Here is a 16,166-nt window from a genome sequence, read left to right as displayed (position 1 = left end):
ATTGTTTATTGTTCATAACTCTTCATTAATCATTCTTATTAAAACAAATGTATGTATTGCAACAGTTTTAGTTTCAGAAATTATAAAGGTAGTAGTATTGAATTAGATTTGTTATAATGAATATACCATACTAATGTAAAATGTTAAAAATAGAGGAAACTGGGGATGTATCGGATATATGCAAACTGTTAGTACTATCTTTCTTTGTTGTTTTTTTTTTGAGACGGAGTTTCACTCTTGTGGCCCAGACTGGTATGCGGTGGTGCAATCTCTGCTCACTGCAACCTCCGCCTCCCGGGTTCAAGTGATTCTCCTGCCTCAGCCTTCCTAGTAGCTGGGATTACAGGCATGTGCTACCACGCCCGGCAAATTTTTTATTTTTAGTAACGACGAGGTTTCACCATGTTGGCCAGGCTGGTCTTGAACTCCTGACCTCAGGTGATCTGCCCGCCTCGGCCTCCAAAAGTGCTGGGAATACTGGCAAGAGCCACCGTGCCCAGCCTGAGTACTATCTTATCAATTTTTCTGTAAAACTAAAATTGCTGTAAAAAACAAAGTCTATTTAAAAAGAAACTAAATAAAAACAAGAATCACTAGTTTTATACAATCTCTTTGTTCTGGGATTGTTTCCATTATCTGTAAAATCTAAGCATTCAGAGATAAACAAATATTAAAATATTCCTTTAATATTTTACTTTTGAAAGAATCATATTACTTAACTATTTGAACCATTTCTAGATTTAGTACAGACTCCTATTTAATATTTGGCTTGTTAGTACCTAACAAGAATACTACAATGTAGATTTTTATTTCCTCACTGAAGTGAAAATTTTTTGCTGTCTGTTTTCTCTAAGTTTAAAGCATATAGTTTTATTTTCTTTTAAAAGTTAAGATTTTAGAGTTAAAAGTGAATTTATATTTTCTAATTAATTAAGCATTTTCTAAAGCTAAAGACTAATCAACATCTTTGGAATATTTGTTACATATATAGATTACAATAAAAATGTATGCAGTTCACAACAGATGGTAATGTGAAATTTTATCTCGAGCTGGTATTTCAAGTATTATTTCAAAACCTATTCATACTTATTACCTTAAGTTTATTCTTTTAGCTGCTTTATAATTTTTTTTTTTTAATTTTAACCCTGTTGAAGATTGTAACAAATATATTCTAGTTGCTACAGTCTAAAACAGTGCTTGGAAATACTGATGCTTAGTGTTATTTCTATGATTACTTTAATAACATTTCCTGAGTTTAATTTTTTCATTACCCAGCTATCTTTCAGAACTGGTATATTGATTTTTCTAATTAATATTCTTTGTACTTGGGATGGTATTTTTATTTTGTACTTCTAAAGAATTGAATAGCACAACCATTATAAGTGATGTGCTTGCTATGTTATCATATAAATGCTCAAGGTACACCTTCTAATGTTGAAAAATAGGAAAATAAATTGACCTTGATGAAGTGTGTCTTCTTTTGTCTGTTCCCAGGAAAGTTTATTTCAGGTATTTCTACTGCTGAAATGATTAGCGTTAACAGCTTTTCCCCTCCATTTTATTTTACAGGGTCTCTTCATCTTCCTGATATATGGGGTGTACAACACAGAGGTAAGTCTGCTTGGAGTATCTCAAGGCTGACAGAGTGAATGAGAGAAATGACAGGTTTCTTATCTTGATAACTGAGGAACAAAGTTGGCTTTTCATATGAGTGTCCTACTGCCCTTCATGCTTGGACTAGCTTATATGCATCCCAGCTTACCATTAAACACTGACACCCTGAATAAAGGGACAGCCTCATTTCTCACAGGCGTTGACTAATATTTTACGACTGCCTTAAGTTTTTGAACTTTCAGTCTTTAACACTTAGCTATTGTAGAAAAAAACAAAAACAAAAACAAAAAAACAACTCAGCCTCTCCTATACTCTCACTCAACAATCAACACAGAAGATTTCTGCGACCAAATGTGTAGGGGTTTCTCCCCACACACCGAGCAAGCAATCAATTCTGCAGCAGACACCACTGGGGTGTCCTCCAATTCAATTCTGACACTACCTACCTGGAGACAGCATCAGATCCCCCAGATTAAGAGCCCAGGCCTACAAGACTGGCCGGCCGCATTTCAGATGCCAATCACAAGCCCCAGGTAGTTTTACCTGTGCTTCTGACTGACCAGCTGTAAATCGGGGTTCCCATGACCCCTTCCTTGGGCTTGATTAATTTGCTAGAGCAGCTCATAGAACCCAGGCAAACACTTACGTTTTCCGGTTTACTATTAAGGACATTACAAAGGCTATCGATGAACACCAGATGAAGAGATGGATGGGGGAAAGTCTGTGGGAAGGGGCGCGGAGCTTCCACGCCCTTTCCGGGTGCGCCATCCTCCTGGAACCTTCACGGGTTCGCTTACAGGAAGCTCTCCAAACCCCGTCCTTTTTTAGGTTTTTATGAAGGCTTCATTACACAGGCATGATTGATTAAATCATTGGCCATTGAAGATCAACTTAACCTTCAATCCCTCTCTCCTCCCCGGAGGTCGGGGGGTGGGACTGAAAGTCCCAAACTCTAATCCTGCCTTGGTCTTTCCGGTGACCAGCCCCCATCCTGAAGCTACCTAGGGGTTGCCAGCCATCATCAGTCGCTTCATTAGCATACAAAAAGACATTTATTACTTTGCAGATTCCAAGGATTTTTAGCAGTTGTATGCCACAAAACGGTTCAAAGTCCAAATATATATTTCACAATATCACAACTATACTTGACAGTATTAAAGTGTCAGTTTAAGTGGTGGAATACTTACATGTTGTTTCATGGGATTAGAAAAAAAGCAATTTCTTCTTATCTCAAAATTCTCATTAAATATTGTCTGTAAAATTTTTAGGGCAGGCTGAGAGAGGTCCATAAGTATTAGTAAATAATCCCTATGGTTTCGATTGTGAAATTTCCCAGAGAATTTATTATTTAATTATGAGAAGTTATTTAGCTAGAAACATTGTGATGTACATGTAACTTCATTAAGAAAACATACTATGTAAATAAGCTGTTGTCATAGTTCTAGTTCTTTTATTTAAAATTTCTCATTTATAAATATCCTTTGCTAGGAAAGTGTCTGGTTTAGATTTCTGCATGCTTAACATGAAATCGAGTGCCTTGTGTACATTAGACACTGAATAAATATTTGTTGTTTGATTTTGTTGATATAACTTTGATTTTAAGATTTTACTTCATAATTTTCCCTTACAAGAAAAATTTCTAAATTTGCAATGAGTTTCTCGGTATTCTGTACTGGCGAGGAAAGAGTTGATCCTAGCAGAGCTCTTAGAATGGCCTGGTGGTTAATTTTTCATAAACAATATAAAGGGCCAGGCATTCATAACGTGGCAAACAGACTGATTAGCCAGGCTAAGGTACGGGGGCATTTAAATAAGATGTAATGATAATGAAGTATGTGTGTGGGCGTGTTTTACAGGACTGCTGCACCTGGATTACGCTCGGTTTCCTCTTCCAGTAGCCTTCAGGAAGGTTGGCAGTAAGACAAGTTTTTTTCTTTTTCTTTTTTTTTTTTTTGTTGCAACGGTACCACTAATTGCGGTTTCAAAGCAGGCTCCTCCCATAAATGCAAAGGATATGCGCCCATTATTAGTGCTTCCAAATTCAAAGGGATAACATAAGCACCTGTTTTAATAAATGTTGAGCATTTGGAGTTGAATGCTTCTTGATAGAATCAAAAGTGCCCTCAATGATCCACTTCTAGGTTTGAATTTTATTTCAAGACCTGGATTGCAAAACCTAGAGTGAAGAAAGCCCTAACATTGAATCCTCAGTTTCCCTCACCTTCTCTTCCAGCCCCTTTCTCTGCATCTCCCACGCCACGCTGTAGTACAGTCCCCCGTAACTTCCCGCCCCTTGGGTTCCACCTCCTGAGCGTCTTTCCCCCAGAAACCCTCAACCACTTTCATCTCCTTCAGTGCAGCCCACCAATCACGCCTGTTCGCCTCGAAAGCCCCTTTTTAGCAGGGCTCCAAATCCCCGCCTCCCCTGCCCTTGCTCCCCCGCCTCCGCCCAACGGCCCCAGTGATTGACAGGCAGGCCGGGCGGAAGCTGCGGCGCAGGCGCCCTGGCTCCTTAGCCCTCCCCTCTGGCCGGGTCGAGGAGTTCCCAGCAGACACTGCGCCGCGGCTGCGCAGTACACGGGAGGCTTTTAATTCCATTGTGGAGAGGACGGCGTTATTTTTATTAACTGGAGGCGACGGCGGCTGCGGCGGCGGCGGGACCCGTAAGTATTGCCGGTGGGTCCAGGAGGGAGAGGGCGAGGCCTGGGGAAGAGTCGCAGGACCATGCGTGCCGGTGCCGGAGGCGACTGGGCTGGGAATTAGTGCTGGGCGCGTTGCGGTCTGGGCGGCGGCGCGGCGGGGTCCTTAGCGCTGCGGTGGTCCCGGCCCGGGGCCCGGTTCCACCTCCTTTCCTCCCTCTTCCCTCTTCCTCCTCCTTTCTTCAGCCAGGCCTCCTCCGGGGTATGAAAATCGGCAGTGGGTTCCTGAGTGGCGGCGGAGGTACCGGCAGTAGCGGTGGTAGCGGCTCCGGCGGCGGTGGTAGTGGCGGCGGCGGCGGCGGCGGCAGCAGCGGCAGGAGGGCAGAGATGGAACCCACCTTTCCCCAGGGTATGGTTATGTTCAACCACCGTCTTCCCCCGGTCACCAGCTTCACCCGGCCGGCGGGGTCGGCCGCCCCTCCCCCGCAATGCGTGTTATCCTCCTCTACCTCCGCAGCCCCGGCCGCTGAGCCCCCCCCTCCGCCAGCCCCGGACATGACTTTCAAGAAGGAGCCGGCGGCGTCAGCCGCGGCCTTCCCCTCGCAGAGGACCTCCTGGGGGTTCTTGCAGTCTTTGGTTAGCATCAAACAGGAGAAACCCGCGGATCCTGAGGAGCAGCAGTCCCACCACCACCATCACCACCACCACTATGGGGGGCTGTTCGCTGGAGCTGAAGAGAGGTCTCCAGGCCTAGGAGGCGGTGAAGGGGGGAGTCACGGCGTCATCCAGGACCTCAGTATTCTCCACCAGCATGTCCAGCAGCAACCAGCCCAGCACCACCGTGACGTATTACTCAGCAGCAGTAGCAGGACTGATGACCACCATGGCACTGAGGAGCCAAAGCAGGACACTAATGTCAAAAAGGCAAAAAGGCCAAAGCCAGAATCTCAGGGAATCAAAGCCAAGAGGAAGCCAAGTGCATCTTCCAAACCTTCTTTGGTTGGAGATGGAGAAGGTGCCATCCTCTCCCCAAGTCAGAAACCTCATATCTGTGATCACTGTAGTGCTGCTTTCCGAAGCTCCTATCACCTGCGGAGACATGTCCTCATTCATACAGGAGAAAGACCTTTCCAGTGCAGCCAGTGTAGTATGGGTTTCATTCAGAAATACCTACTACAGAGACATGAGAAAATTCATAGTAGAGAGAAGCCATTTGGATGTGATCAGTGCAGCATGAAGTTTATTCAGAAGTACCATATGGAGAGACACAAGAGGACACATAGTGGAGAAAAGCCATATAAGTGTGACACTTGCCAACAGTATTTTTCAAGGACTGATAGATTGTTGAAGCACAGGCGCACATGTGGTGAAGTCATAGTTAAAGGAGCCACTAGTGCAGAACCTGGGTCATCAAACCATACCAATATGGGTAATCTGGCTGTGTTGTCTCAGGGAAATACAAGTTCTTCAAGGAGAAAAACAAAGTCAAAAAGCATAGCTATTGAAAATAAGGAACAGAAGACCGGTAAAACAAATGAATCGCAAATTTCAAATAATATAAACATGCAGAGTTACTCAGTAGAAATGCCTACCGTGTCTTCCAGTGGAGGCATAATTGGCACTGGAATAGATGAACTGCAGAAGAGGGTGCCAAAATTGATCTTTAAGAAAGGAAGCAGAAAGAATACAGATAAAAACTACCTTAACTTTGTGTCACCATTACCAGACATAGTAGGACAGAAATCCTTGTCTGGAAAACCAAGTGGCTCACTTGGCATAGTATCAAATAATAGTGTGGAGACCATTGGTCTTCTCCAAAGTACAAGTGGCAAACAAGGTCAGATAAGTAGTAATTATGATGATGCCATGCAGTTTTCAAAGAAAAGAAGATATTTACCAACTGCCAGCAGCAACAGTGCCTTTTCTATAAACGTAGGACACATGGTCTCCCAACAGTCTGTCATTCAGTCTGCAGGTGTCAGTGTTTTGGACAATGAGGCACCATTGTCACTTATTGACTCCTCAGCTCTAAATGCTGAAATTAAATCTTGTCATGACAAGTCTGGAATTCCTGATGAGGTTTTACAAAGTATTTTGGATCAATACTCCAACAAATCAGAAAGCCAGAAAGAGGATCCTTTCAATATTGCAGAACCACGAGTGGATTTACACACCTCAGGAGAACACTCAGAATTGGTTCAAGAAGAAAATTTGAGCCCAGGCACCCAAACACCTTCAAATGATAAAGCAAGTATGTTGCAAGAATACTCCAAATACCTCCAACAGGCTTTTGAAAAATCCACTAATGCAAGTTTTACTCTTGGACACGGTTTCCAATTTGTCAGTTTGTCTTCACCTCTCCACAACCACACTTTGTTTCCAGAAAAACAAATATACACTACGTCTCCTTTGGAGTGTGGTTTCGGCCAATCTGTTACCTCAGTGTTGCCATCTTCATTGCCAAAGCCTCCTTTTGGGATGTTGTTTGGATCTCAGCCAGGTCTTTATTTGTCTGCTTTGGATGCTACACATCAGCAGTTGACACCTTCCCAGGAGCTGGATGATCTGATAGATTCTCAGAAGAACTTAGAGACTTCATCAGCCTTCCAGTCCTCATCTCAGAAATTGACTAGCCAGAAGGAACAGAAAAACTTAGAGTCTTCAACAGGCTTTCAGATTCCATCTCAGGAGTTAGCTAGCCAGATAGATCCTCAGAAAGACATAGAGCCTAGAACAACGTATCAGATTGAGAACTTTGCACAAGCGTTTGGTTCTCAGTTTAAGTCGGGCAGCAGGGTGCCAATGACCTTTATCACTAACTCTAATGGAGAAGTGGACCATAGAGTAAGGACTTCAGTGTCAGATTTCTCAGGGTATACAAATATGATGTCTGATGTAAGTGAGCCATGTAGTACAAGAGTAAAGACACCCACCAGCCAGAGTTACAGGTAAGGTCCCAAAAGTGGCCAGGCTGGAGGTCTTCTAATGTAATTTTGTTTTATTTTGAGAACACTGCCATTGGAATGTTTCTACACGATCCTATTAAGAATAATGTGATGCCCTTTCAATGCAACTTTTCATATTTAGTTTATTTTGTTAGCGTGATTTTAGCTCTGTTTGTATTATGATTTTTAATCAAAATCAATAGATTAAAAATAGTTTGACATTCAAAGTGACAATGTTTAGCAATCAAATTTACATGTATAGATCGTCAGGGAATAGCCCAAATGTTTTAAACGCAAAAAAAAAGACAAAAAAAAACCAAAAAAAAAAAACCTACAAAAAAAACTTTGTTGCTAGGATTAAGGTTATTCTAATTGCTTTACTCTCAGGAAAGTGTAATAACGCATGGGAATTCTGTACGTTATCACTGTAATGGAATATCCAATTTACAGATAGTATGATATACATTTCATCATTTAAGTAAGGGATCGAAAACATTTCAAATTGCTCTATCTGGGCTGATAGACATTTCGTCATTTAAGTAAGGGATCGAAGACATTTCAAATTGCTATCTCCATCTGGGCTGATCCAAAATTCTGAGATTGTTGGCTACCTATATTTTGTTGCAGCTTTTAAATGTACTCTGAACTTCCAAACCACATTCATTCCAGCCTGGTAGAACAAATATTCTTGGATCTTTGATCAAAGCCTGGAATGATAGCTTTAATAAAAGAAGGAAAAAAAAAAAGCACCCTCTCTTGATCTCAACTGTAACAAGGCTGTAATTCCATCAAGCGATTCTACTGACATCTAGTACAGTGTTGAAGCCCAAGTGGTTGGCTGGTTCCAGTATTAGAACTCAAGTTGAAATTATATGATTAACTGAAATTTGGGGCATGCATTATTTATTATACATGGCCTACAACGGTTCTGTCTGCGCTGTTACGTATTACCTACACTTCTGGGTTTTTTTGTTCTTGTTCTCAGCCTCTCTTTAAGAGTTCTTGGGCCTTCCTTTTCCCTCTTTCTATTTTAACAGTTTTAATTTTAGAACCATTTACATTCCAGTAGGTAATTCACTATGCGCTTTATATGCCTTAGGGCATCCAAATAAAAAACAATAGGGTAAACATCCCCAAAACCCACCTTTAAAAAAAAAAAAACCCATACAGATTTCCATATGTAATAAAACCCCGTGTTCTTGGATAGATATTAATAAGGTTGTAATTCCAACTGGTGACATAACTCCTGTGAGGGATAAGAATGTGTCTGCTTATAGTAATAACATCAGAACCTCTTTGTGAAATTGCGGCCTTTAATGTACATTTTAATGAAAGGGTGCATTAGTATTGTACAGGGGTCTTGTAAAGTCATCAAAACTTGCTATGAACTCTAATTGCCATTTGAAGCTACTGATTGGCAGTGGCTCTACTCTAAAACTGCTTTTTAGCAATTGTATTTTTTTCCTGATTATATTTTTTAATGTACTTTGATGTTTATGCTGATGAGTTTTTTATGTACTTTTGGTGATGTTTCAGTCTTATGTACTCTTCTGACGTCAGAAAAGTACCACTGGTTGTTTGCAGTCTTATTGTGTAATCAGCCTACCGCAGGCTTCCATGTATAATAAAGTAATTAATATTGTGCAAGTGTAAAACACTTCTGTTATAAAAGCAGTGTTTGGAAAATAAGAAATATTAAAAATGGTTACAAAGTATTAGTTAATTTCCTTTTCCCACTTTCCTCCCTTTAGCTTTAGCAGCTAAAGGGTCACCAACTTGTCATTGCAAGATTCTTAGAAAATGTACTTAATCTTAAATACGCTGAGTACTAAAAAGTGTTTATTTCTTATTTCAGTAAGTGCGGTAAGTTCTATTGAGTACAGAGTACAAGCTGTAATCAAAGGATGGAGAGGACCTTTACCACTGTATCTCTTAAGCTGTATGATTTTTCTCCAGTTTGTTTTATACAGGTTTTGAATTTCTTTAACTTTTATTGTGTGTACTGAATACTGCATATGTATTATTCTGATTGTTTGCTCTAGTTTACTACCAATAAAAGTCCTGTTAATCACAAGATTGAAGAAAGGAGATATTACTTAATATCCAGTAACGTTTTTCAGAATTTTCTATTAACATTTTCTAAAATATTCACATCCGTGGTATAACCTGCAGTTTAGAGGCTTGTATTTTAATTGTATTTTTTTAACTTAGGTATTTTGTGTTTCTAGGTTTATTTTAGTTGAAAATGGACTCAAGGCCGGGAGTGGTGGCTCACGCCTGTAATCCTAGCACTTCGGGAGGCCAAGGCGGGTGGATTGCCTGAGCTCAGGAGCTCGAGACCAGTCTGGGTAACACAGTGAAACCCCGTCTCTACTAAAATACAAAAAATCAGCTGGGTGGGGCGGCGTGTGCCTGTAGTCCCAGCTACTCAGGAGGCTGAGGCAGGATAATTGCTTGAACCCAGAAGGTGGGGAGGTTGCAGTGAGCCAAGATTGTGCCACTGCACTCCAGCCTGGGCGACAGAGCAAGACTCCGTTTCAAAAAAAAAAAAAAGGATTCAAATTTATATAATACTAAATTTTTGTTCTTCCATATTGCTATGCACCTAAAACATATTCAATGTTCATAAAATATTCAGTTTTATGACATTATGAAAACATTCAACATTTTATGAACATTGAATACTTTATGAACGTTGAATATGTTTTAGGTGCATAATATGGAAGAATAGAAATTTAATATTATATAAATCAATGTTTTCTTGAAATTGGGTTAGCCATCCTAATATTACTCCAGAGAAATTATTTATTGAGGCTTTATTTTAAATCAGATTCCAATATCTTCTGGTTTTAGGTGCATCCTTTTTTGCCTCAAAAATGTTGTAATATCCTGTGGCACCAGTTTTGGGAAAAAAAACTTTTTACTTAAAAAGTTGTAATAAAGTGACAGTATGATTTAGATTACAACAGTCTTGAGCATTTTAGTTAGGATGAAGGTATTATTAAATCAGCAATGTTTTAAAATGTTGAGAGTATAAGTATTAGAAGGAAAGAGCTAAACCTATAAATAATGGAGATGCAGAAACTGAAAATTAGTAAATATGTAATATATTAGTAAACTTATAAGTATGAAGGGAAAAAGTAGATCATAAGACATTTGTGTTTTGAAATTTAGTGGCTACAGTGTTGAGGAATTGGGAATAAATATATTAAAGGGTAGAATAGGTCTTTGAGGCTTTGTTTTCTTTTTAGTATATGATAGTATTACAGGAAATCATAAAGATATTAAGTATAAGCATGGATTTCTCTGTAGAGATTATCTGTACTGGCGAGTCTGTGATTAGGAAATGTCAGTTTTTGTTTGTTTTGCCCAAGTGTATTTCCTAGATTTGGTCTTTTTCTTGAACAAGAGTGCTAAGCAGAATCTCTGATTCTATATTGAAATCCAATTTTTGATTTCTTTGCACAGGTGACTTATTCTCTATTCTAGATTAGCCCTAACAGATTGATTTTTTTTTTTAACCCATCCACCTGCCTTTATTTCTTCTGTGGAATGTCTGTCTCTGAATATGATCATTTTAAAATTAAGGTTTTTTTTTACTTTTAAGAAGTTAAGGTATGAAGTAGGAAACAATGCTTTTGGATTTCTGTTGTGCTACTGGAAATTCAGAATAAGGACTACCATAATTTAGCAATTGCTGGTCAGTATTTTTGAGGTAATTTAAAAATGGGAACAGTGGAAAAACATCTATAATTTTTAGCATGTTTTTAAAAAGTTGCAAACTGATACAAATATTTCTACTTTAGTTTTCCGTATTATGCTCATCAGATGAGAGAGGCAAAAGTTTGTATTCATTCCTGTCATCTGGCATTTTGTAATTACTTGCCATTAGTAGCATTTAAGCCTGAACTGGGTGACAGTTTGAGCAATATGGCTTCATGAGGTCACATGGAATTTTTACCTTCCAAATTCATAGGCTCTTGTTAAGCAGAAGAACTTCCCTCACCAAAAATAGTTTCTGAACTTCTACTTTTAGGGTAAAACATACCTGAAGACTATCATTTTCTGAGTTTTATGGTCTTTGTGTTTTCTATGATACATACTGATAGGATTTCATTTTTAAAATGTGATGCAAGACTCCTTTGTTAGTGCTATGATAGGATCCATGCATCATGTTGCGTGAGGTTATGATGGTAATGTTCCATGAATATTTTGTTATGGGATCCCTCCTGGTATTTAAGAAGAGGGATCTGTGGTGGTTTACCAATCTGCTTGTACCCTCCATGAAATGATAAACAGTTACTGATAGTGAGGGAAAATATTGTATTCTCGTTATTTTTTTATATCCTTGGTAACATTTAAAATGAACATTAGGATGAACACAGCATCTTAGAATTCTGTTATCTTATGCTTGACTGTATTTGAGTGTGACTAATTTAAATAGACTATATTTAAATTCTTTATGAATCTTTGGCTTACTTATACAAGTCCAGCGTAACATTTTTTTTGGGTCACAGACTCTGGGCACCCGATATAAATTGATGGCCCCCCGCCCCCTGTACGTTAGCAGAGATATATCAACAAATGAAAATGTGCAAGCCAGTCTACATGCTCACAAGACCTCCTCCAACTTTCAAATAAATTCTTAGTTATGGACCCTAGGTTAAGAATTTAGAAGACATCCTAAATATTGAAATTTTATTGTATAGATAAGTAGGAAGTTAAAACCTAAGAAAATCATCAAATATTAGGGGTGCTTCTGAATTGATTTATCTGCAGTTTAACTACTTAGCATTTATGGAAGGCAGTTTACAAAAAGCCATAGAGGTTTATGATAAGCTGGTCAAGTAATTAGTTGAATAGATTTTATAATTCTTTGCACTTCTCATCTGATAATAACTACCGTATAGGTAGTAGACTTGACAGTAGTTCAGTATTTTCTGTTAACAGAGTTGTGTTTATAACAATTACAGTCAACTACTGTGGTTCTTCAGTTGCACAGAGTAGCTTTTGGCAAAAGTGAAAAAACCTACAACCAACCTACATCTTTTTACCTAGGAGGAATAATATTGAGTTCTTAATAACAGACTATACTTCATTATAGCCTGTGTGTGTGACTAGCTAGGTTGAAATGTACTGTGCATGATAAGCCTTGTAAAGCAAGTTATATGTTGAAATTAGTATCTTTGGAAGTGTAGATAGATAGCTGGAGAAAAATGTAATGATTTGGAGCTTGTACTCCAGAGGGGAAAATGTATTTCCCGTGTTTATAGAGAATAGAAGAATAATGGGCAGGGGTTGAATGTAAAGGGAATTAAGGGATATCTTAGAATGGAGAAGAAAAGGAATAGATTTTGAAGGAAAATAGCATACACATTCCGTACTCAGTCACATTTGGAAAATAGGGAATATAAAATTTACTCCAATATTAACTGTTAAAAGGGTAAAGAGGATCTTTAGTTGGAAAACTGTTCTGATTTTGTTGTTCTTTCAGTTCAGACTTATTTCAGTACTTTGGTTTGTTATGAACTTTAGAACTATTGTGGAGCAATTAATAAATAACTCTTAACAGACAACTGTGGTGAATTTCTGTTTACATGTCCAGTCTAGGAAAAAGATGGCTAATCTTTGTGTTTATGTATTAAATCTTTTCTTTGGTAACTCATAAAATCACACAGTTTCCATCGGTTGTTAAGAATTTTAAATAACTTTTTTCTTACTAAAACAATTGGCAGTCAAAATTGTTATATGTGATCAAATGGATATGAACAGAATTTAGGAATTAAGACCAAAGCTCTGAATCCACATTCTTTACCCACCAAAAAATAAATGTACAAATACAGTGTACAAAGGCATGTTGTGTTACGACAAAGGAAAAGTGTGAGTGGTTATAAAAAGTTGGAAACCCTTAATTATTTTTTTGTTTTGCTTTGAAAAATGTTTGCAATTTTAACTTGTGACTAGTTCATTTCTTTATTCTACGTTAGATAAGAATCTTATAAGCATTATCTATTGGAAAGTTAAAGTTTTAAATGGGAGCTAAAGTTTTAAATACTGAGTTTTGGAATAAATACAGTTTTTAAAGTCGAAGTGACATTTTTTAGATTAATTTCTAAAGAGTGGATTGCAAAATTGAATGACAAGATCAGCAGTGTAACTATTTTATGTTTGTGCATAAACTAAGCTCTTCCTACGAGGAAGCCAAGTGCAAACATTTGAAAGAGAGTTCCTTCTTTTTGGAGGATAATGAGAACTGTAAATGGGTATCATTGTGGGTCTCCATGAATAGACAACCCATGACCTTCATCAGTTTAGTGGTGGAACTGGAAAGAGCTTTTCTAAGACTTGCAGTTTTTTACTTTGTGGTCCAAAACAGTAAAAGTGCCTAGTATAGGTTAGAAAGCTGACTGAAATGAGACCTGAAGTTTTCATCTTGCAAGTGGGTAAGGTATAGGGATAAAAATTGTGAAAATATTTGCATTTAATAGACCCAATATGTAAATTTTCTTTTTAAAAATTTATTATTATTTTTATACCCCAGGCCATGGCAGATTTATTCTTTTTTTCTTTTTCTTTTTTCTAATATGTACATTTTATTCAGTCAAGCACATTAGAAAACTGAGCAAGATTTCGTAGCACTGCATAAATGCATTAAATCACTTTAAAACTTGATCTTGTACTGCTTTCACTTTTGTTGTAAGTAGCCTTACAATGAGCAAATTAAAATTGTGTTACTATAATATGTTAAGGATTATGTTGTTTGTAAGGTAAATTACTGAGGAATTTTATTCCTTTGGATTTGGGGGGACAGCTGTAGAAGGTCCAAATGTTTAATTTCTTTTTTATGATGTCCACTAAGATATCATACACATTTCTATACTCAGTCACATTTGGAGTAGTTTGCTGTGTATTTCTTTTTATGAGTGTTTATGTTGGTAATTTGATCTCTTAAAGGTTTAGTTTAGAAAGTTTGCAAGGGTAATTAGAAACTATTACACTAACTTTTAAAATTGCCTCTTGTTTTTAGTAAGTAAAAAATTAGGTTATGACAACACTTAACATAGATTGTCTAGGTTTAGTTGAAAAAGTATAAAAAAAAACCTATGATTGTTGAACATGCCGTAAAAAACAAAATATTAAAACTTGTGACAGATTTGTCTTTGGAAGGGAAGGAATGACTGTTGTGTAAGGACAAAGTGAAAAAGGTTCTAAGGAGATTAATATTAATGGGAATGTTTACCGTGGCCATATACTTAAAGACCTTAAACATTTGAATTAGATTTGGAAGACTGGTACCAATGGCCAACTGATAATGGGTTCCTATGGGGTACTGCCGGTGAGTTATAGGAATGTATATGAAGGCAAAACTAAAATGTGATTTGGGAAGATTTTCCAGAGTGGCCTGATAGAAAGAATAGAACATTACAGTTTTTCATTTTGTTCACTTTGATTTTATTAAACCTCTAAAACAAATTGATATTTGAGAAGGAGAGACAAGGGTATGTAAAGGATATAATGATATTTTTCCTAATAATGCTAGTGTACGTGTCCTATAGAAAGGAGAAGAGGTAGTATTTAGGAAAAGATGAGAGAAAAAGGAGTGTCTTGCTTAGTAGCTTTTTTATGATAACATTGAAAGTTTCTCTCTTGAAACTTGAAATTTTGAAGTACTGTAATTCAGTATGGGTGAGTATCTTAATTTGGAAAAAAACCACTAAGCTGACTTGTAATACAAAGTAAATGGTAACATTTTCATTCATAGCTAAATATTAAGTAGCAGAAAAGAATTGTCATGGAAATCATTTTTTGCTTTTAAACTTTCAATTCATCTATATATGTAAATAAAGTCTTAATGCAAGCAAAATTTTACAGAAATAGTTATGTAATTATGAAGTAATTTCAGGACTTCCCATGACATTTAATGATGGAAACTATTTTTCTGATTTCCAAACCAAAACTAACATGCATCTTATAATTTAATAAGAAATGATCACCCGATTATATTCAGTCATATACTCACCTGAACCAATACTCCATCTGGAACTAGAATACAAAAATACTTTGAATGGTCTGAAAGTACTATTTGTTAAAAATGTTCAGTACTGAAATATCAGTTGGAATTTTGCCAGGTGAATGTGAGAGCAGAAATTCAATATATGTATAGAATTGCCTTTCATAAGGCAGTTATTTTGTTTATAAGCCATGTATAGTTATTTAGATGATCAAGTTTATCTGTACTAAACTTGATCATCTAAATAACTGCATGGCTGATCAAGTTTAATACAGATAAACTTTATCATCTAAATAACTGCATGGCTTATAAAGTATACATGTATTTGTGTTTTAATAAAATGTTCAGAACACAAATTACTGGTGGCTGAATATATAAAATACACTTTGAGAGGAATACTAGCAAGAGCAGATGGTGGGGACATTGCTTTGCAATAAATAAGATTAATGTGTTTAGAGCTATTAAGATTGTGAAGAGAAAGGCAAGAAGTTTAGCCTATCAATAGGAAGCACACCAGTGCCTGAACCTGACTTGAGTTTTGAAAAAGCTCATTTCTTAAAAACATTCTTAGAAAATTGGGCTTCACGGAATAGATATGTTTGGAAATCTTGGTTCACATATGTATAAGGAATATCCAGTTTCTCCCTGTTTTCAAGAATAGCCACTTCACATCTTTTAGGTGGCTCTCAAATGTCGGACAGGAGCAGTTGTTAGGGTTTTTCAAATGTAAGTCAGAACTGTTGTTTGGAGAAAACTGAATTTTTTCATTTCGTAAGATTATAATTTCTAGAAATATCTATTAAAAGGTGGAAATTACATTAAAGATAGTAAGTATATTGTGAGTATGTGAAATGAATTTTAGAAATGATCACCTCTGTATTATTTTAATAGAGTGGAACAAAAATGTTTTAAATGGTTCTTACTTTGGAAATGGATATCTTAAAAATTCTGATATTG

At 37.3% G+C, this 16,166-nt stretch overlaps 1 protein-coding gene across 3 annotated transcripts, besides 6 other annotated features; it reads left to right on the top strand.

Moving 5' to 3' along the window:
• Window positions 2,327-2,933: an enhancer, noted in NCBI's record as "OCT4-NANOG-H3K27ac hESC enhancer chr1:200380418-200381024 (GRCh37/hg19 assembly coordinates)". NCBI's record gives its function as "activates a minimal SCP1, AML or CMV promoter by ChIP-STARR-seq in naive and primed H9 embryonic stem cells {active_cell/tissue: H9 hESC(naive and primed)}" and the evidence as "EXISTENCE:reporter gene assay evidence [ECO:0000049][PMID:30033119]".
• Window positions 3,205-3,782: an enhancer, noted in NCBI's record as "NANOG hESC enhancer chr1:200379569-200380146 (GRCh37/hg19 assembly coordinates)". NCBI's record gives its function as "activates a minimal SCP1, AML or CMV promoter by ChIP-STARR-seq in primed H9 embryonic stem cells {active_cell/tissue: H9 hESC(primed)}" and the evidence as "EXISTENCE:reporter gene assay evidence [ECO:0000049][PMID:30033119]".
• Window positions 3,609-3,658: an enhancer, noted in NCBI's record as "active region_2298". NCBI's record gives its function as "activates an Ori minimal core promoter by ATAC-STARR-seq in GM12878 lymphoblastoid cells {active_cell/tissue: GM12878}" and the evidence as "EXISTENCE:reporter gene assay evidence [ECO:0000049][PMID:35858748]".
• Window positions 3,783-4,360: an enhancer, noted in NCBI's record as "NANOG-H3K27ac hESC enhancer chr1:200378991-200379568 (GRCh37/hg19 assembly coordinates)". NCBI's record gives its function as "activates a minimal SCP1, AML or CMV promoter by ChIP-STARR-seq in naive and primed H9 embryonic stem cells {active_cell/tissue: H9 hESC(naive and primed)}" and the evidence as "EXISTENCE:reporter gene assay evidence [ECO:0000049][PMID:30033119]".
• Window positions 3,999-4,178: a silencer, noted in NCBI's record as "silent region_1670". NCBI's record gives its function as "represses an Ori minimal core promoter by ATAC-STARR-seq in GM12878 lymphoblastoid cells {active_cell/tissue: GM12878}" and the evidence as "EXISTENCE:reporter gene assay evidence [ECO:0000049][PMID:35858748]".
• ZNF281 (zinc finger protein 281) lies at window positions 4,187-9,272 on the top strand. 3 transcript variants are annotated; one of them, NM_001281294.2, is made up of 3 exons: window positions 4,187-4,277; window positions 4,500-4,662; window positions 4,771-9,272. In NM_001281294.2, exons 2-3 carry the CDS (start codon window positions 4,518-4,520, stop codon window positions 7,203-7,205), a joined length of 2,580 nt encoding a protein of 859 aa, NP_001268223.1. In that variant the 5' UTR covers window positions 4,187-4,277; window positions 4,500-4,517; the 3' UTR covers window positions 7,206-9,272. The 3 variants fall into 3 exon arrangements, with proteins under 3 accessions (NP_001268223.1, NP_036614.1, NP_001268222.1); NM_012482.5 differs by having other exon boundaries at window positions 4,504-9,272; NM_001281293.2 differs by having other exon boundaries at window positions 4,500-9,272.
• Window positions 4,361-4,938: an enhancer, noted in NCBI's record as "H3K27ac-H3K4me1 hESC enhancer chr1:200378413-200378990 (GRCh37/hg19 assembly coordinates)". NCBI's record gives its function as "activates a minimal SCP1, AML or CMV promoter by ChIP-STARR-seq in primed H9 embryonic stem cells {active_cell/tissue: H9 hESC(primed)}" and the evidence as "EXISTENCE:reporter gene assay evidence [ECO:0000049][PMID:30033119]".
• Window positions 9,273-16,166: the final 6,894 nt, after the last annotated feature.

This window comes from Homo sapiens, chromosome 1 (assembly GCF_000001405.40).
Source record: "Homo sapiens chromosome 1, GRCh38.p14 Primary Assembly".
Taxonomy (NCBI): domain Eukaryota; kingdom Metazoa; phylum Chordata; class Mammalia; order Primates; family Hominidae; genus Homo; species Homo sapiens.
Note: the sequence above shows the minus strand (reverse complement) of the source record. Positions and strands in the feature narration are given on the sequence as shown.

Coding starts and splice junctions, on each gene's coding strand:
- ZNF281 (NM_012482.5), top strand. CDS start 4,518: ATGAAAATCGGCAGTGGGTTCCTGAGTGGCGGCGGAGGTACCGGCAGT.